Genomic DNA, 19,346 nt, shown 5'->3' with positions numbered 1-19,346 from the left:
CTCACCCTGCATGGCAGAAGTGCACTCCACTCCAACCACCCTCCCACAGCAGGACCTCTGGCACATCACGCTTCCTTCTTGAGTCTCCACGCCGCTGACATGACACTTCCTAGTGCCAGCTCCTTCCAGAGAACTCTCCTGACAGCCCCAGTTCCTACACACCACAGTCTCTCAAAATTCCCATTTTGTTTTGAGCCTATCTCTGTTATAACCCCTCTGCACTGCATTTATAGGGAAGATGGAGTCACATCTTACTTGGGGCACTGATTACAAAATCAGCACATACATGAAAATCAAGTACACTTAAAAGTACCCTTGAATCGGCCAGGCGCGGTGGCTCACGCCTGTAATCCCAGCACTTTGGGAGGCCGAGGTAGGCGGATCAGGAGTTCGAGACCAGCCTGACCAACATGGTGAAACCCTGTCTCTACTAAAAATACAAAAAAATTAGCTGGGCATGGTGGCATATGCCTGTAATCCCAGCTACTTGGGAGGCTGAGGCAGGAGAATCGCTTGAACCCGGGAGGCGGAGACTGCAGTGAGCCGAGATCGCGCCACTGCACTCCAGCCTGGGCGACAGAGCGAGACTCCGTCTCAAAAATAAATAAATAAATAAAAATAAAAAATAAATTAAAAAAAAATTACCCTTGAAAATCTCTTAAATCATCCAGACAGTACTATAGAACAAAGTTCAAGTCCAACCTAGCCCTTTTTTCTTTTGTAATTCCAGCAATGAAATAGTTATTTATTCAGCTGAACACCAGGTGAATTAACTGGTGTGCATTTAGGAGCAATATTGCACAAAATCATGAGTAAAACAAAGAAGAGGAGGACAAAGATCAGAGGAGGAGGAAGTAGGGGGAGGTCTAGAGCCTTTAAACACTGTGTTCATAAAATGACCAAGTTGCTAGGACTGTGGGAGCCACAGAGAAACATGAGGTTCAAATCGTCTGACCCTGGGGCATATGGTGAGATTCTACACTGTACTAATATGTGGATGATATTTTTCTCTCTCTCTTTCTGTTTCTTTTTCATAACGTAAAGTGTCACAACATCACTGTGCAAATAAAGAATAACTAGGGTCTTGAGACTTAGGTTGGTTTAACTTACTGAAGTGCATCGTGTATCTTGAGCCTACCATTTTCACTGTTAATTTTGATCCAGTCATTGTGGGTCAGTAACATTCCTTCTCTCCCCACCAAACCTAGTATCCTTTGGAAATGCTGAAGGTAACTGACCAGCAGGATCAGGAAAGATGCCTGCAGCAGTCAAGCTATCAGCTCGCTTCAGCCTAAAAAAATATAAAATACATCACACAAAAATAAGGATTCAACATGCTTCTGACCATGGTTGAATAATTGCTATTTTATGTTCTTCGTAAAGCTCTAAGAAATGAGAAGCCAAAAATAAACACTGATAGATGGAAAAGGGGCTGAATTCTACTTGGAGAGTCCATTCCTGAGGGACTCATGACTTATGCAGAATCGATACAGCAGAGTGCGTGGAATGCAGGTGGTTACATAGAGACAATCGGTAGTTTCTGATTTATTAAGGTGTTTTTGTTTGTTTGTTTTTGAGATACGGTCTTGCTCTGTGGGCCAGGCTGGAGTGCAGTGGCATAATCTCAGCTCGTTGCAACCTCTGCCTCACGGGTTCAAGCGATTCTTGTGTCTCAGCCTCCAGAATAGCTGGGATTACAGGCACGTGCCACCACACATAGCTAATTTTTGTATTTTTAGTAGAGATGGAGTTTCACCATGTTGGCAGGCTGGTCTCGAACTCCCAACCTCAGGTGATCCGCCTGCCTCAGCCTCCCAAAGTGCTGAGATTACATGCGTGTGCCGCCGTGCCCAGCCTATTAAGCATATTTTTAAATGGCATTTTGACACTAACTTTGCAATCTCATAAATATTCTAAATAAATTTGTCTAATCTAAATTATTCATGAACTAAAATTGTACCCTTGTTTCTGGCTGACTTGCAACACCTTTAAATCGATCTATGTTCTCTCCTTCTGTCAAGTAATAATTCAATTCAACTAATAAATTCACTAAGCACCTATTATTCCCAAATAATTCTGATTTGATTTAAAAAGGCTTTCTTGAAAACAAAAGCATCTCCCATAGAGATTTTGGGCACTTGGCAGGTCCACAAAGAGAAGAAGCCTATGTGTGCGCGCCTGACTCAAGATTCACAGACGCTCTGTGGCTCCCCGGCCAGCAACCAGACTCTTTACTTGAGTGTACAGTAGAGTTTGGTCATTTCTGTGTTTTGGTTTTGTTTTTTTGTTGTTGTTGTTTTGAGACAGTCTCAAAAATATTTGCTGGAGTGCAAATTTATTTACTTTTTGAGATGGAGTCTCACTCTGTCGCCCAGGCTGGAGTGACCGTAATCCCAACAGGCTGAGGCAGGTGGATCACATGAGGTCAGGAGTTTGAGACCAGCCTGGCCAACATGGTGAAACCCCGTCTCTACTAAAAATACAAAAAGTAGCTGGGTATGGTGGTGCATGCCTGTAATGCCAGCTATTCAGGAGGCTGAGGCAGGAGAATTGCTTGAACCTGGGACACAGAGGTTGCAGTAAGCCATGACAGAGCAAGACTCTGCCTCAAAAAAAAAAAAAAAAATAGAATACACACAGGAACTCTTTTTTAAAAGACTGCAAAAATTCAATCACCTAACAGGCAAAGTGACTAGATCAGGAAGTGTCTTGAACTCAAATGTCAATTGAGATCAGGTGAAATTCAATGAACTGGAGGTGAGGATGGTGAAATCATAAGACAGGATGAGCTCTGCACCGAACAGGAGGGGACGCCCATCTGCAGGGTCAGGCCCCCATAGTCCAGTAAGATAAAGAAAGCCACCTGGGGCAGCTGAGCACTAAAACTGTGCCTAATCCAAATAGAAAGGCACTCAGTGTGAAAGACACACGCAGCTCGGTTAGACATGCACACGTATAATATATATTACTACTTATACGTAAATATATAAATTATATGTATACACATATTTATAATGTGTATTTCAAATATGTTTTATAAATATTCTATTTATATCATAAATATTTCAAATATATAATTTATTTCAAAATAGATGGGGCTGGGCATGGTGACTCACAACTATAATCCCAGCACTTTAGGAGGCCAAGACGGGTGAATGGGTTGAGCCCAGGAGTTTGAGACCAGCCCGGGCAACATGGCGAGACCCTGTCTCCACAAAAAATACAAAAAGTAGCCAGGCGTGGTGGTTCACGCCTGTAGTAGTCCCAGCTACTCGGGAAGCTGAGGTGGGAGGATGGCTTTAGCCCTGGAAGACAAGGCTGCAGTGAGTCAAGACGGTGCCACTGCACTCCAGCCTGGACGACCGAGTGAGACCCTGTCAAAGAAAAAAATAAACGAGGCTGGGTGCGGTGGCTCACGCCTGTATTCCCAGCACTCTGGGAGGCCAAGGCGGGCGGATCAACTGAGGTCAGGAGTTCGAGACCAGCCTAATCAACATGGAGAAACCCCGTCTCTACTAAAAATATAAAATTAGCTGGGCGTGGTAGTGCATGCCTATAATCCCAGCTACTCGGGAGGCTGAGGCAGGAGAATCACTTGAACCCGGCAGGCGGTGGTTGCAGTGAGCTAAGATCGTGCCATTGCACTCCAGCCTAGGCAACAGAGCGAGACTCCATCTCAAAAAAAAGAAAGAAAACAAACAAAATAGATCAAAATCATGTTTAGACATGTTGAGTGAAAGAGAATATAATATTAAAGTTGATTTTATCTGTTTCTTTTTGCTATGTTTAATGTGACTACTGGAAAATCTGACAGGACCCATGGGGCTCACATTATGCTTCTAGGCGAGAGTGCAAGGTCAGACCCCACTGGCTCTGGCAGTCGGCACCCAGCTGATCGAGGAGCTACTCACTGCTACAAGGTCACCAATCTACCCAGAGAAGCCAGGCATTTCAACATCTGTGAGAATCTCCCCAATTCCAACCTCCCTAATGGTATTTCTCACTCCTTCAAGATCCACAACACCTGTTAGTCCTCTACATCTTCAGAAGTTCCCGGAGGCCTGCGTTTCCCATTTCCCTTCTCCATACGGACGAGTGACGCTTTTGGGCGGGGTGTTGCCTCTAGTGTCTGTTCCCACACGCTCCTTCCTAATACCTCGACCCTCCCTGGCACTTACTTGAGGAGGACGAGCCCCATCTCCAGATCCAAGGGTGCTCCTGCAGGCTCATGCCAATCAAAACATCCGGCTCTCCACACACCCACCCCTAGACGTTCAATTCTGGGACCTGGGTCGTGTTTTCAGAGACTCAACCTCAGAGGTTCTCCATGGGCCTGACCTGGGATTCAGGGAGACCCAGGAGGGGCTGGCGAGAAGATTCTGCCAGGAGAGGGAAGCAGATGCAGGAGACGGAGATAAGTGGACTCCTGTCCCTGTCCTCTGCTGGAAAACCACCCTGAGGAGGCCCTGCCTCCAGCCTTCTTATGGCAAAAGCCATTACATTCCCTTTATTGTCCAAGACAATTTAGGTTGGGTTTTCAATTCAACTTAGCTTTCAATTCAATTACTCAAGGCTGAAGATCTCTAAGCCACACCACAGTAATAGCTTAGCGCCCTTATTGTTAGTTTATACACAATCCATCGCAGTCTCTCATCCCCTCAATCCTTCCATTATGAGTCCTTTGGCCTCCTCGGAATTCCAGACCATTGACCTCTGCCCCCTCGGACCCACAGTCCCTCCGAGCTTTTCTCCCAGTTCTGGGGAGATTCCATGCTCCGCCATTTCAATTACTTTCTTGTCAACACCTTAACCACTCCCGTCCCCCAGTCTTTCTGTAGTAAGCGTGTGAGCATCTGGAACAACGCCAGCCCTGGAGAGTCTCCAGGTCAGCTTTCTCCATGGCAGCCCCAGGCACTGGCGCCTGCTGGGGGACCCCCGAGGCAGAGGGTAAGTGGAGATCTGTGAGATGGGATCCCAAGTTGCTCACTACTGCGTCGGAACCTCTCATGCATTTTCAGTGACCAAGCGCACCTGCTGTATGCCCAGCACCGCTGGGGCAACGAGGGTTCAGTAAAGAACAAAACATGCACAAATCCCTGCCCTCCAGGTGCCAACTCTCTTTTTTTTCTTTTCCTTTTTTTTTTTTCTGTTTTTTTTTTTTTTTTTTTGAGAAGGAGTTTCACTCTTGTTGCCCAGGCTGGAGTGCAATGGTGCGATCTCGGCTCACTGCAACCTCTGCCTCCCGGGTTCAAGCATTTCTCCTGTGTCAGCCTCCCGAGTACATGCCTGGGATTACAGGCATTCGCCACCACGCCCGGCTAATTTTGTATTTTTAGTAGAGACGGGGTTTCACCATGTTGTTCAGGCTGGTCTCAAACTCCTGACCTCAGGTGATCCGCCCGCCTCGGCCTCCCAAAGTGCTGGGATTACAGGCGTGAGCCACTGCGCCCAAGGGCCAACTTTCTAGAGCAGGGAAAAGGTCAATGAGCCAGAAAATTGCAAATCTCCTCTATGTCAGAGGCAGGTTTTTGCTCGGGAGGAAAACCACCAGCCCCAGGGAGACGGGGAGACAGTGTGTGGTGGAAGGGGCTGCCATTTGAGAAGGGTGGGCAGGGGAGTTCCCGCTAAAGAAGGTGACCTGAAGGTGGCTGGCGCAGTGGCTCATGCCTGTAATCCCAGCACTTTGGGAGGCCGAATTGGGTGGATGACCTGAGGTCAGGAGTTCAAGACCAGCCTGGCCAACAAGGTGAAACCCTGTCTCTACTAAAAATATAAGAATTAGCCAGGTGTGGTGGCGCACGCCTGTAATTTCTGCTACACAGGAGGCTGAGGCAGGAGAATCGCTTGAACCAGGGAAATGGAGGTTGCAATGAGCTAAGATCGTGCCACTATACTCCAGCCTGGGTGACAGAGAGAGACTTGGTCTCAAGAAAAAAAAAAAAAAAAAGCCTGAAGGTGATGAGGCAGCGAACCACGTGGATACTGTGGGGGAAAAGATGAAGAGCTAACAAAGTCCAGCACACAGAAGTAGAGAGCAGAATGGTGGTTCCCAGAGGCTGTTGGGGGGCTTGGTGGGGGGCAGGAGGAGGAATAGCTTGTACAGCATGGTGACCATCATCAATAATAACATACTGTATATTTCAATTGCTTAAAAAAAGATTTTAAATGTTTTCACTACAAAAAATAATAAGTACAATTGCCGGGCGCAGTGCCTCACACCTGTAATCCCAGCACTTTGGGAGACTGAGGCGGGTGGATCACGAGGTCAGGAGATCGAGAGCATCCTGGCTAACATGGTGAAACCAGGTTGCTACTAAAAAATATAAAAAATTAGCCACGCATGGTGGCAGGCACCTGTAGTCCCAGCTACTCGGGAGGTTGAGGCAAGAGAATGGCATGAACCCGGCAGGCAGAGCTTGCAGTGAGCCAAGATCATGCCACTGCACTCCAGCCTGGGCAACAGAGCCAAGACTCTGTCTCAAAAAAAAAAAAAAAAAAGGTACAATCACCCCTGGGAATCTGTGGATAACAAAATCCAAGGATGCTTAAGTCCCAGATATAAAATGGCACAGCATTTGCATATCACCTTCACACATCCTCCTGTATACTTTAAATCATCTCTAGATTACTTATAATACCTAATACAATGGAAATGCTATTCAATAGTTGTTCTGCTGTATTGTTTGGGGTTTTGGGGGGGTTTTTGGTTTTTTGGGTTTTTTTGTTTTGTTTTGTTTTGTTTTCGTGGCAGAGTCTCGCCCTGTCACCCAGGCTGGCGTGCAGTGGTGCGATCTTGGCTCACTGAAACCTCTGTCTCCCAGGTTCAAGCGATTCTCCTGCCTCCGCCTCCCGAGTAGCTGGGATTATAGGCGCATGCCACCACGCCTGGCTAATTTTTGTATTTTTAATAGAGATGGATTTTGCCATGTTGGCCAGGCTGATCTCAAACTCCTGACCTCAGGTGATCTGCCCAATTCGGCCTCCCAAAGTGCTGGGATTACAGGCGTGAGCCACCGGGCCCGGCCTGTGTTGTTTTTTATTTCTATATATTTTTTAACATTTTGATCTGTAGTTGCTTGGAACTGCAGACATGGAACCCACAGATACGGAATACTGACTGTCTTCAAGGTGATAGACATGTTCATTACCGTGATATAATCATTCCACAATGTATTCATAGTCCAAAACATCACATGGTATCCCATAAATATATATAATTACTAGTTGTCAAACTAAAAGTAACAATGTAAATTTTAAAAATAAATTCAAATAAACAAAAAATAACATCAGTGGGTATTATATCAGAATATCAGAAAAGCAGGTGCTATGGGCCTGACGTGGGATGTGCTGGGCTTTGGGAGTTCACAGGGGTCTGGGAAGGTTATGTCACTGAGGGGCCCACAGCGCAGAGGATAGCAGGTCCTGGCAGAAGCCTCGGCGTGTGTTGGATGTGAAGCAGAGAAGAGATGCAATCTGGCTGAGCATTTCACCAGACTCAGCCTGACTGCTGTGTTGAAAGTGAAAAGAGACAAGCTAAGAGGCTTTGGCAATGAACCAGGGAGGGCTGGGGTGGTGACACCTTCCCTCTCCTCCAGCCTCTGAGGTCCTTATCTGTCCTGCTACCAGCAGCTCATGGCCTTGCCTCCTCTACAGAGAAAGTCACAGCTGCAAGACAGGCACACCGTCAAGTGCCCCCCACCATGCCCACCCCTCTGGCACATGCAGGCCTCTGGGCCTCTCCCTGAGGTCCCAGCAGAGGCCACACTCCTTCTCCAGCTCACCCCTCCCCAACAGCTCAGGAGTTAACCACCCCCACAGTCATGCCTCTCCCTGTTTCCTCTTCCCACTCACATTCAGGCAGCATCAAATATGCCCGAGCCCCTTAGAAGGTTTCCCCAGCAACCCAGCATCCTCCCCGAATCAGGCTCTACTCTCTCCTCCCCTGCTCATCGCAAAAGGACTTCTGGAAATGAAAGTGTGGCACACATTCACCGTCTCCATCTCCCATGGCTGCCCACTCCTGGGCTTCCACCTGCCACTACTCCTGCGGAACAAGATCAGACAAGATCTCCACGGACCTTCAGGTGCCAACCCTCACTGCCCCTTTGGCGTCTTGAGCAGATGGGCCTGTTAGCAACATCCAGCCTCGCTAACCAGCCCTTCTGCTTGGGAAATTCCTCTTCTTCGGCTTCCCTAAGTTTTCTGGATTTCCGGGGCCCTCTGCCTTCCCAGCCTGTCTCCTTTCTGATCATGTTATATCCCAGTTTGCCCCACCCCTAGTGCAGGACTAAGCAAACTTCATCCCACACTCAGCTTCTCATCTTCAGCCCGGAAGCCTCTCGGAGTGCCCGTGGGTTGCAACTGCCCTAATTCAACAAAAACTTACAGTGTGTCGTCTGACAGGCACCTCGCAGTCAGCATGTTAAGACTCTCCTGCCCCAGCCGAGCTGGCATCAGCCAGCATTCCACGTGCAGGGACCTGCCCACAGTGCACACAGCGGCACAAGCCAGGCCCCTGGAAGTCCCCCTAGTGCTCTTCTCTCCCCGCTGCCACAGCATCGCAGGGTCCTTCCAGATAGTATTCAGATCTATACACTTTTTTTTTTTTTTTTTTTTTTTTGAGATGGAGTCTTGCTCTGTCGCCCAGGCTGGAGTGCAGTGGCACGATATTGGCTCACTGCAAGTTCCACCTCCCGGGTTCACGCCATTCTCCTACCTCAGCCTCCCGAGTAGCTGGGATTGCAGGTGCCCGCCACCACGTGTGGCTACTTTTTTTGTATTTTTAGTAGAGACGGGGTTTCACTGCGTTAGCCAGTGAAACCCAAAATTATTACTCTAACTTTCCCCTGCCTTCCTGTGTAAAACCTGACCATAAAGAAATTATCCCAGGCCAGGTGCGGTGGCTCACGCCTGTAATCCCAGCACTTTGGAAGGCCGAGGCGAGTGAATCGCCTGAGGTCAGGAGTTCAAGACCAGCCTGACCAACATGGTGAAACCCCGTCTCTATTTACTAAAAAAATACCAAATTAGCTGGGTGCGGTGGCACATGCCTGTAATCCCAGCTACTTGGGAGGCTGAGGCAGGAGAATCACTTGAATCCAGGAGGCAGAGGTTGCAGTGAGCCGAGATCACGCCACTGCACTCCAGCCTGGGCAACAAGAGCAAAACTCCATTTCAAAAAAAAAAATAATAAATTATCCAAACTACCTTGTTTGATTGCAAGTCACAAAGCTCCCATTCCAGAGCGGGCCTGCCTTGTACCAGAAGGAAAGAAGGCTGCACAGAGGGGCGAAGATGAATCCAGACAGACTCGCCTTGCTGGGCCTCCCCAAGCAGTCTATCGGTGTTCGATCAGACCCTTTTCATCCCATCCTATTCCCATGTGGCTGTCCGTACCTTGTTGAACCTAAGCATAAACTGGCCAGTCTCTCGTGTCTCTGGGTCTTCATTCTGAAGGCTCCCATGTCATGTAAAACTATGACCAACACAGGTGTGTGCCGTGTCTCCTATGAGTCTGTCTTTGCCCAGCTGGTTTTCAGTGAACCCTCAGAGGGGGAAAGGGAAGCTCTTCCTTGGACCCTACGCCCTCTGGAACTAGGTCGGCTCTATTCAGAGTCCTCTCTCTGTCATCACCCTACACTTCTCTGTCATAGCACTGATCGTATCACAATCAGACAAATGTTTGGGTAATTACGTGCTTGTGTCTGTCTTCCATGCTAGAATGCTAGACTTGTCTTCCAAGTGACAATGCTTAGCATCGAGCTGATGTGCGCAAGCTGTCTGTGGTTGAGCGGCTGCCTCCTGAGGACAGGGACTGCTGACGCCGGCTCTGTGTGTAGCGCCTACACAGCACTGTACCCATGGGAGACGCTCAAAAAATATCTGCTGAATGAAGATATTAACAACTTTCTTTTTGTGTGATACAGGGTCTCATTCTGTTGCTGCCCAAGCTGGAGTGCAGTGGTGCCATCATGGCTCATCACAGCCTCAACTTCCCTGGGCTCAAGTGATCCTCCTGCCTCAGCCTTCTGAGTAGCTGGGACCACTATGCTCAGCTAATTGGTGTATGTTTTGTAGAGATGGGGTTTCACCATGTAGCCCAGGCTGGTCTCAAACTTCGGAACTCAAGCAATCTGCCTGCCTCAGCCTCCCAACGTGTTGGGATTACAAGAGTGAGCCACAGCGCCCAGCAACAACTTTCAATGGCTATCTTTGTGGTTTTTTTTTTTTTTTTTTTGAGACAGAGTCTCACTCTGTCACCCAGGCTGGACTGCAGTGGCGCAATCTTGGCTCATTGCAGCCTCCACCTCCCAGGCTCAAGCAGTTCTCCTGTGTCAGCCTCCTGAGTAGCTGAGATTACAGGCATGCACCACTATGCCCAGCTAATTTTTGTATTTTTAGTAGAGACAGGGTTTCACCATGTTAGCCAGGCTGGTCTCAAACTCCTGACCTCAAGTGACCTGCCTGCCTCAGCCTCCCAAAATGCTGGGATCAAAGGCGTGAGCCACCGCGGCTGGCCTCAATGGCTATCTTTGGACGTGGAAAAATTAGTAACAAGATCTTCAAAAAACAAACAAAACCAAGGAAGGCAGAAAAAATAAAATAGCCTCCTTGTCTGAACTTCATCTGCATTCACACTTTCCTTTGACTCCTCAAAAGAAAATCTAGAAAACCTGAAAACTTTTCCTCATACTTTTTTTTTCTTCCCAAATGCTTGACACAGAGAATTCAGAATGATGCGGCCAGAAAGTAGCCGGGCCTGGAAGGGAAAGTACTGCCTTGGATGCAAAGGATGTTTGCATTTCTTCCTTCGCTTTCTCTCCTTTCTGGTCCGTGTCCTGTAGTGCTCCGATCTGCCCCCATTATCTAAAATGCTTCCCATTCCGACAAACACACCTTTGCACTCTCCGTTCCAGATGGAGAAACACAACAAACACACAGTCACCACCCCGCTGCACCAAGTCCAGCTATGAGTGTGACAACATTTGCCATCATTCTGATGTCAACACACTCCTGGCTGGACTGAACTGCCCCTTGGGCTTCCCTGCTCTGGGCCGAGGAGGACCAAATGCTCTATTTTGTTCTCTTCCCGAGACCATCTTCACGCATTTCCCCAGTACCCTTGGCAGCTCTGCAGACAATACCCTAGGCATGCAACTCAGTTATCTAGTGAATATCTGATATCAAGATGTAGAGCACGGGTCAGAAGGCCTTTCCTGGAAGCAGACAGAGAGGAAATACCTTTGGGTTCGTGGGTCAGAGGGCCTCTGTTCTAACTACTCCATTCTGCCCCTGAGAAGCAAAAGCAGAAATGTGAACAACACGTAAGCGTATAATAGTATAGCTGGGGCCACTACAACTTTATTTACAAAACTGGCAGGGAGGCTGCGTTTCACCCCGGGCAGGCAGCAGTTTGTCGCCCTGGTTTTAGAAGATGATTTCAGTGTTTCCAAGGACTAGCCTCCTGTTTTAGCATAACGGGGGGCACCCTTTGAAACAACTCCACAACTTACTCTCGGCGTGAATATTTTTTACATCCACTCCTTGTGCAGTTTATCCCCCTCCACAGGTGACATGAACTTGGTTCTCTAGGTGTCAGACTCTATTTTTTCACTTACCAGAGCTGCTTTTAATTTTGAACTTCACCGTTAGAAACTGACCTAGACCAATTTCCCCGGTTCCGTGAGGACGGCCTGGCTCTCCTGGCAAATGTTCATTCTCAGGGGATCAGAGGGGGGTGGGGACCCTTCTGACCTCTTCCTTCCAACCTCACCACCAGGTGTGCCCTACAATGAGAGGAACTCTCACTCCAGATTCAGCCACACACACACAAAACGGTCTATTCTGCTGGGCTGCAGAACTCTCTGTGTTCTCCAAGCACCCTGCCCGAAGGATCGAGTCCACACTGGACCATACTGGCAGCCACACTAGCCAATCTAGTTAAGCCAGATGACAGAGGGTTATGGCAGGGATGCAAGACCAAATAGAGCTGGCAACCCCTCAAGGGCTGCCCAGCAGGTGAGGGCTCCCTGACTTCTTGGTCAAAAGCCTGTGTCGTCTTCCCAGTGAACCACATATCTTAGACACTACTAATTTCTTTTTGTTGAGACGGAGTCTCACTCTGTCACCCAGGCTGGAGTGCAGTGGTACAATCTCGGCTCACTGCAACCTCTGCCACCTGGGTTCAAGCGATTCTCCTGCCTCAGCCTCCCGAGTAGCTGGGACTACAGGTGCCAGCCAACACGCCTGGCTAATTTTTGTATTTTCAGTAGAGATGGGGTTTTACCATGTTGGCCAGGCTGGTCTTGAACTCCTGACCTCAGGTGATCTGCCCGCCTCGGCCTCCCAAAGTGTTGGGATTACAGGCGTGAGCCACCGCGCCAGCCTAATTTCTGAAATGCTTTATGCTAATGAACAAATCTTCTGACGTGGGTTGCTAATGTTACATTGCTTAGGAGACATCTCTAGAGTGTAGGTGCCACATTAGGGTATTCAGAATACTCGCTAGCAGCTCACAGGTTATACTTAAAGGAAACTTACACACCCTGAACACTTTATACTGAAGAATATTTAACGTGACACACAGACAATACGACATCAATTCTCAAGTTATTGATCCCCCAGATTTTTTGCCCAAGAAACACATTATTCCATTCTGTCACCTACATCTTCTAAAAAACTACTAGACAGCAGAAGCTTTAGATTTTCCTGTCTTTTTTTCCCAGTATTTTCCCTCTATCATGAAGGAAATCACAGGTTTTTCTCTCCTTCATTCCCCACACTCAACTGCCAAGTCCTGTTCATTTTACTTCTTAAATATGCCAAACCCAAATACATACATGATTTTCAACTACACACAAATCTCATGGCCTTTCATGGTGCAATCCTGTTTTTGGCACAAAACTGAAGGTGTCGCGTGGCCCTGTCTCCCTCTCCAGCCACATCTCCTGACCCCACCTAGAGAAGGGTTCATCAGCAAAGCCCTGTTCACATGTGGAGCAGGGTCACTCTTGGGGAGGGGCTGCCCTGTGCACTACAGGGTGTGGAGTGGCGTCCCACTCAATGCCAGTAGCCCCCAACACTAGTGGTGACAGCGAAGTATGTCTCCAGACCTTGCCCAACGGCCCTGGGGGCAAAATGGCTCCCCCTCCTCGGCACATCCTCTGTGCCCCATGCTCTTCCGGAGGCAGAGTCGCTGATCTACAGGATTCTGTGCTGTGAAGGCTGCGTGACTCTCAGCTCTGGAAGAGATGGTCTCTTCCCATCCCATTGGTTGACGCTCTGCCTAAGACGCCTCCCCCTCCGTTCTCCCACCTTGCTAACTAAGGCCCATTATGCTGATTAATAGCTCACAACTGTTGTTGATGAAAAGAGTCAAACTCTGTAAAATATTAAGAGATTTATTCTGAGCCAAATATGAGTGACCATGGCCTGTGACACAGCCCTCAGGAGGTCCTGAGAACATGTGCCCAAGGAGGTCGAGGTACAGCTTGGTTTTACACATTTTAGGGAGGCATGAGACATCAATCAAATACATTTAAGAAATACATTGGTTTGGTTCAGAAAGGCAGGACAACTCAAAGCATGGGGGTTGCGGGGAGGAAGGGCAGTTCCAAGCTATAGGTCAATTTAAACATTTTCTGGCTGACAATTGGTTGAGGCTTGTCTTAAGACCTGGGATCCATAGAAAGGAAATGTTCAAGTTAAGATAAAAGACTGTGGAGACCAACGTTCCTTTGAAGTCTTACGGTGGCTGCCCTTAGAAACAATAAATGACAAATTTTTCCTCTTCAGATCTTTAAAAGGTGCTAGACTTTTAGTTAATCTCTTCAGGATTGGGAGGGCATGGAAGAAAAAGATCTAGCTATGTTAATGGAGATTTTTTTTTTTTTTTTGAGACTGAGTCCCCCTCTGTTGCCCAGGCTGGAGTGCAATGGTGTGATCTCAGCTCACTGCAACCTCTGCTTCTGGGTTCAAGCAATTCTCCTTCCTCAGCCACCCAAGTAGCTGGGATTACAGGTGTGTGCCACCACGCCCAGCTAATTTTGGTATTTTTAGTAGAGACGGGGTTTCACCATGTTGGCCAGGATGGTCTCCAATGCCTGACCTCAAGTGATCCACCTGCCTTGGCCTCCCAAAGTGTTGTGATTACAGACGTGAGCCACCAGGCCCGGCAGAAATTCTTTACAGATGCAGATTTTCCTCCCACAAAGGATGGCTCTGCAGGGCCATTTCAAGATATGGCACAGAAGCATGTTTTGGGGTTAAATATTTTGATTTTTTTTCTTGTCTCATAATGTTATGCCAGAGTCAGACTGGAAGGTAAGTCACGATATACAGTGTCAAATAAAACCCATCTGATGGGATTTTATGGTTTGTAGGGCATGACTCCCAGACCCCTTAGACAGGAATTTGGGCAAGATAAAAAAATCAGAGCTTAGTCCTCACTATGTTCCAGACACTGCTTTAAAAACGCTGAAAGTGTATTAACTCTTTTAATTCCATTCACAACCCATATTGGCATCCTCATTATGAAAAAGAACACTGAGCCACAAAGCAAACTTGGTCTGGACCTTGCCATTTTTCAACAGGGAATGGGCTTGGAAGGCACGAGAAGGCTTTCCCTGACCTCTGATCTGGGATCGGTCCCCACCTATATGTCCCCAGAGGATTCTGTGCTTCCCAGGCCAATACATTCATGAGGATTTAGCACCCTTACTTATAGATGGGGTGTTGCTTTACAATGACCAACTTGTGCAAGAATAGAACCCCTTCTTTTTTTCTTTAAATTCAGTCTTACCTAATTCTGACCTCCTATTCTGCCAGGCTGATGGGAACTCCAGATTTACGTATTTGGGGAACTCCTTCACCAAGTGTCCAGGGTCAGTTGAAGGTGGTCTCCGGGGTCTTTGGCAGAGATTTTGGAGGAGAACATCCAGTCCTCACTGCTCATTGCTGATTAGATCACAGGGACTCTCAGTCACCAAGGGAACCTCCCTCCCCGCCCGTCCAGGACACCAGCATCATTTCCTCAAGGAGACTAAGCTTTCACAAGGCAGAAGATGTCTTCAAGCAACTTCTGCTTTTTTCTTTTTCTTCCCCCAGCAATCCTTCCTGAGGTGAAGGACAACAAACGCCTGGTCTGAATAAACATCAAAGCCTGAATAGCAGCCTTTATTCTGCTTCTGCACAGCCAGGAAAAGAAAGAACGAAGTGACTAAATGGCCCTCCACTCCAGTTTAGCTGAAGTCAACCTTCTGCATAAACCCTGCCCGCCTCCTTCCCCTTTGTAGCCCCAAGGCCTAGCAAGACAGGCACTTTCAAAAGTGCACCACCAACAGAATGATGGGGGAGTGAATCTCAGGACGGCAGCTAACATAGTTATTTTTTCTATTAATTCACCTCTGAGTTGGGACAAAAGTAACGTGACCTTGTGGGTGGATGTGAGTTTGGGCCCTTGGAAGATGTGGGTTTACAGCTCAAGTTAGGAGCAAAATATTAAATAACAGGTAATATTTCCTTTTTGCCTGAAGCTTCTAACTCTGTGCCCGTTCAGGTTCTTCGGTCACTCAACATTGTTTTTGATTTTCTTTTCTGTTTTTGAAACGGAGTCTTCTCTGTCTCCCAGGCTGTTGTGCAGTGGCGCCATCTTGGCTCATGCAACCTCCGCCTTGCAGGTCAAGCGATTCTTGAGCCTCTGCCTCCCGAGAAGCTGGGATTACAGGTCTGTGCCACCACAGCTGGCTAATTTTTTTATTTTTAGCAGAGATGGGGTTTCACCATCTTTTTTTGTTTTCTTGTTTTTTTTAGTGGTAATTACTTCTTAAGCACAAAGTGTTTTCCCCACCACATGTACAAGCCAGATTTGGCCTCTCTCTCTGACTCATTTCCTAGCACTGGCCCCAAACTCTCTATAGTCCAGTGACCCTGGCTGCCTTTCTGCTTCTCACACAGCTCAGGACCTGTGTTCTCACCATTATTCCTTCCTGGGACCATCCCTCCAGATCTCAGTGACAGCCTCTTTTCGGTCTTAGCTTCAATGTCATCTCCGGAGACAGCCTCCCAGACCACATTCTCTAAAGCATCTCAGCCATCATCATGCCTCTCAATCACTTTATCTAGTTTTGTCAGAGGCGTCTGAACCAGAGTAACTCAGTCTTGAATAAGGGCTGGGTAAAATGAGGTTAAGACCTACTGGGCTGCAATCACAGATGGTTAAGGCATTCTAAGTCACAGAATGAGATAGGAGGTCGGCACAAGATACAAGGTGATAAAGACCTTGCTGATAAAACAGGATGCAGTAAAGAAGCCAGCCAAGACCGACCAAAACCAAGATGGCAACGAGAGCGACCTCTGGCTGTCCTCACTGCTACACTCCCATCGGCACCATGACAGTTTGCAAATGCATGGAAATGCCAGGAAGTTACCCTATATGTTCTGGAAAGGGGAGGTGTGAATAATCCACTCCTTGTTTAGCATATCATCAAGAAATAACCATAAAAATGGACAACCAAGGCCAGGCGAAGTTGCTCATGCCTGTAATCCTAGCACTTTGGGAGGCCAAGACCAAAGGATCACGTGAGGTCAGGAGTTCGAGACCAGCCTGGCCAACATGGTGAAACCCTGTCTCTACTAAAAATACAAAAATCAGCTGGGTGTGGTGGCAGGCGCCTGTAATCCCAGCTACTCCGGAAGGTAAGGCAGGAGAATCGCTGGAACCGGGGGGCAGAGGTTGCAGTGAGCTGAGACCCCGCCATTGCACTCCAGCCTGGGCGAAAGAATGAAGCTTTGTCTCAAAAAAAAAAAAAAAAAAAAAAAAGGCAACCAGCAGCCCTTGGGGCTGCTCTGTCTATGGAGTAGCCAGTCTTTTATTTTTTTACTTTCTTAATAAACTTGCTTTCACTTTAAGGACTCGCCCTGAATTCTTGCTTGTGCAAGATCCAAGAACCCTCTATCGGGTTCTGGATCAGGACCTCTTTCCGTTAACAGTTTTGTTTTATTTTTTAGAGTTTTGATCTGCCACCCAGGCTGGAGTTCAGTGGTGCAATGTCACTTCGCTGCAGCCTCAACCTCCTGGGCTCAACTGATCCTCCTGCCTCAGCCTCCTGAGTAGCTAGGACCACAGGCATGCACACACCACATCAGCTAATTTTTAAATTTTTTTTTGTAGAGATGAGGGTTTCACCATGTTGCCCATGCTGGTCTTTAACTCCTGGGCTCAAGCAATCCTCCCATCTCAGCCTCCCAAAGTGCTGGGATTACAGGCTTGAGCCGCCATGAAAGCCTGCCCTAGGTTTTTTGTTTTTTTTGTTGTTGTTGTTGTTTTTTTTTTTTTTTTTTTTAGATGGAGTCTGGCTCTGTCACCCAGGCTAGAGTGCAGTGGCGTGATCCCAGATCAATTGGCTCACTGCAACAGCTGCCTCCCAGGTTCAAGCGATTCTCCTGCCTCAGCCTCCTAGTTTTGCTTTCTTAATAGCACTAATCCCTATGTGAAATCACCTCCTTCATTCCTCTCCCATACTGGGATGCTGGTTCATCCAACAGAGCCAGGAACACAAAGGGCTCCTCACTGCTAAACCCAAGCAGAGCATCACTGACCTATTTAATAGAAACCTGCACCATGAAACCTGAGTGTAAATTTTCCAGCAAATTTCAGAAAACTGATGGATCCTCTCTTGGTCATTTCTGCTTATGATCTTTAGGAGAAATTAGCTGAAAGGGACATGAAAGTGTTGGTGGAGTCTCAATTGCTCATTTTAATGATGAGGAGGCCGGGCACAGTGGCTCATACCTGTAAACCCAGCACTGTGGGAGGCCGAGGCAGGCGGATCACCTGAGGGCAGGAGTTCGAGACCAACCTGGCCAACATGGTGAAACCCTGTCTCTATTAAAAATACAAAAATCAGCCGGGCGTGGTGGTGCACACCTGTAATCCCAACTACTTGGGAGGCTGAGGCAGGAGAATGCTTGAATCCAGGAGGCGGAGGTTGCAGTGAGCCCAGATTGCGCCACTGCACTCCAGCCTGGGTGACACAGCGAGACTCCATTTCAAAAAAATAAATTGATGGGGAAACAGGCCCACAGAAGGGAAGTAAATCGGGAAATTTCATGAAGCAAGTCCGCTTTTACACACACACACACACACACACACACACACACACACACACACACGGCTTCTGTTAAGCTGCAGGCTCTAATCCTGGCACTTCCCAGGCTTCGCCTCAAGGAATATGTTTATCCGGCTAATACAGGCCGAGCGCCCGCTGTGCGGGTGGGAGGCGGCGGGATTAACGCGGCGGCCCCTCCCCGGGCCCCCGCCGGGCTTGCGTTCCAGCGACCAGAACACAGACCAACAAGTAAACAAATAAGACAAAGGCAGAAAAAGATGAGTGTGAAGGAGCTAACCAGCCAGGAAGACGAGAATAGACAGGGCAGAGGGGAGGTGGGAAAGGGACTTCGGGGACAGGACCCCGGACGCCGGCACACAGCCGAGACCCGATCCGCGAGGGCAGGGCTGGCACCGCGGTCCCCGGCCTGGAAACGCGCCCCCGCCGGGAGCTCCGCGGACCCCGCTGCGCATCCCTGCGGATCCTGCTCCCATCCTGCTTCTGCAGCGAGGCCTTCCCGGGCCCCTCCACGACAGGCTCCGGGCCTGTTCACCTGCTCAGTCCCCTCCGGAGAGCGCGAGGCCAATGCGCCGGCCGCACGGAGACCCGGGGACACGCGCGCCACGCAGAAGGCACCGACCCCCGCGCGCCCGGCAGGCGGCACCGGCCCATCCGTTTGTGCGCGCGGCTCGGGACGGCCCCGGCGCGGCTGGAGGGGGCCTGGCTGAGCGCCCCGCGTCCCCGGGTCCCGCGTCCCCGCCCCCCGGCCCCCGGCCCAGGCTTCGTAGGCCCCGGCGCCCTGCACCTACCGAACGCGCTGGGCCGTGACCGCGTTGCCGGTGTGTGGCCGCAGCACCGCCAGGAACAGGAGCCGCATGCCGCCGCCGCCGCCCGGGCCATCGACCGGCCCCGCCGCCGCCGACCAGGCCCCGGGGCCGGCGCAGACGCGGACGGCGGGGGAGCCGGGGCGGCTGGGTCTGTCCCGCCCGCCCCTCCCCGAGGCCGCGCCCCAGCTCGCAGGTTCCGGCGCCAGGCGGGGAGGGGGACAGGAACCGGGGGCCTCGGGCGGCGCGAGCCCTGGGTGCGGGGTGGCGCGGGTGTGCCCCGTGGGGTCCATCACCAGGGTAGCCGCGGTCTGTTTCCACCTGGACCAGGACCAGCGGTGACCACAGTCCCTTCCACGGGGACCAGGACCATCGGTGACCACAGTCCCTCACACGGGGACCAGGACCAGCGGTG

General features: G+C 49.3%; 1 protein-coding gene and 1 long non-coding RNA gene across 12 annotated transcripts in view, besides 4 other annotated features; one reads left to right on the top strand and one right to left on the bottom strand.

Moving 5' to 3' along the window:
- GLT1D1 (glycosyltransferase 1 domain containing 1) overlaps positions 1-19,088 on the bottom strand; it is a 131,491-nt gene extending 112,403 nt beyond the window's left edge. For all 11 annotated transcript variants that reach the window (NR_159493.1, NR_133646.2, XR_001748588.2 and 8 more), the window contains exon 1: positions 18,917-19,088. Coding sequence is in view for 7 of the 11 variants with exons in the window: in XM_011537957.3 (XP_011536259.1) it covers positions 18,917-19,007 (91 nt within the window). In the remaining 4 variants the exon portion in view is untranslated. The remainder of the gene's footprint in view (positions 1-18,916) is intronic.
- On the top strand, positions 851-4,968 carry LOC124903084 (uncharacterized). Its single transcript, XR_007063603.1, has 3 exons — positions 851-968; positions 3,815-3,960; positions 4,828-4,968. It is a non-coding gene; the product is annotated as an uncharacterized LOC124903084 (long non-coding RNA).
- Positions 18,107-18,758: an enhancer, noted in NCBI's record as "H3K27ac-H3K4me1 hESC enhancer chr12:129338353-129339004 (GRCh37/hg19 assembly coordinates)". NCBI's record gives its function as "activates a minimal SCP1, AML or CMV promoter by ChIP-STARR-seq in naive H9 embryonic stem cells {active_cell/tissue: H9 hESC(naive)}" and the evidence as "EXISTENCE:reporter gene assay evidence [ECO:0000049][PMID:30033119]".
- Positions 18,107-18,819: a biological region, named in NCBI's record as "H3K27ac-H3K4me1 hESC enhancer GRCh37_chr12:129338353-129339004".
- Positions 18,620-18,819: a silencer, noted in NCBI's record as "silent region_5089". NCBI's record gives its function as "represses an Ori minimal core promoter by ATAC-STARR-seq in GM12878 lymphoblastoid cells {active_cell/tissue: GM12878}" and the evidence as "EXISTENCE:reporter gene assay evidence [ECO:0000049][PMID:35858748]".
- Positions 19,010-19,109: a silencer, noted in NCBI's record as "silent region_5088". NCBI's record gives its function as "represses an Ori minimal core promoter by ATAC-STARR-seq in GM12878 lymphoblastoid cells {active_cell/tissue: GM12878}" and the evidence as "EXISTENCE:reporter gene assay evidence [ECO:0000049][PMID:35858748]".

Source organism: Homo sapiens, chromosome 12, assembly GCF_000001405.40.
Source record: "Homo sapiens chromosome 12, GRCh38.p14 Primary Assembly".
In the NCBI taxonomy this organism is placed as follows: domain Eukaryota; kingdom Metazoa; phylum Chordata; class Mammalia; order Primates; family Hominidae; genus Homo; species Homo sapiens.
The sequence above is the reverse complement of the archived record's forward strand: the minus strand, read 5'-3'. Positions and strand labels throughout refer to the sequence as shown.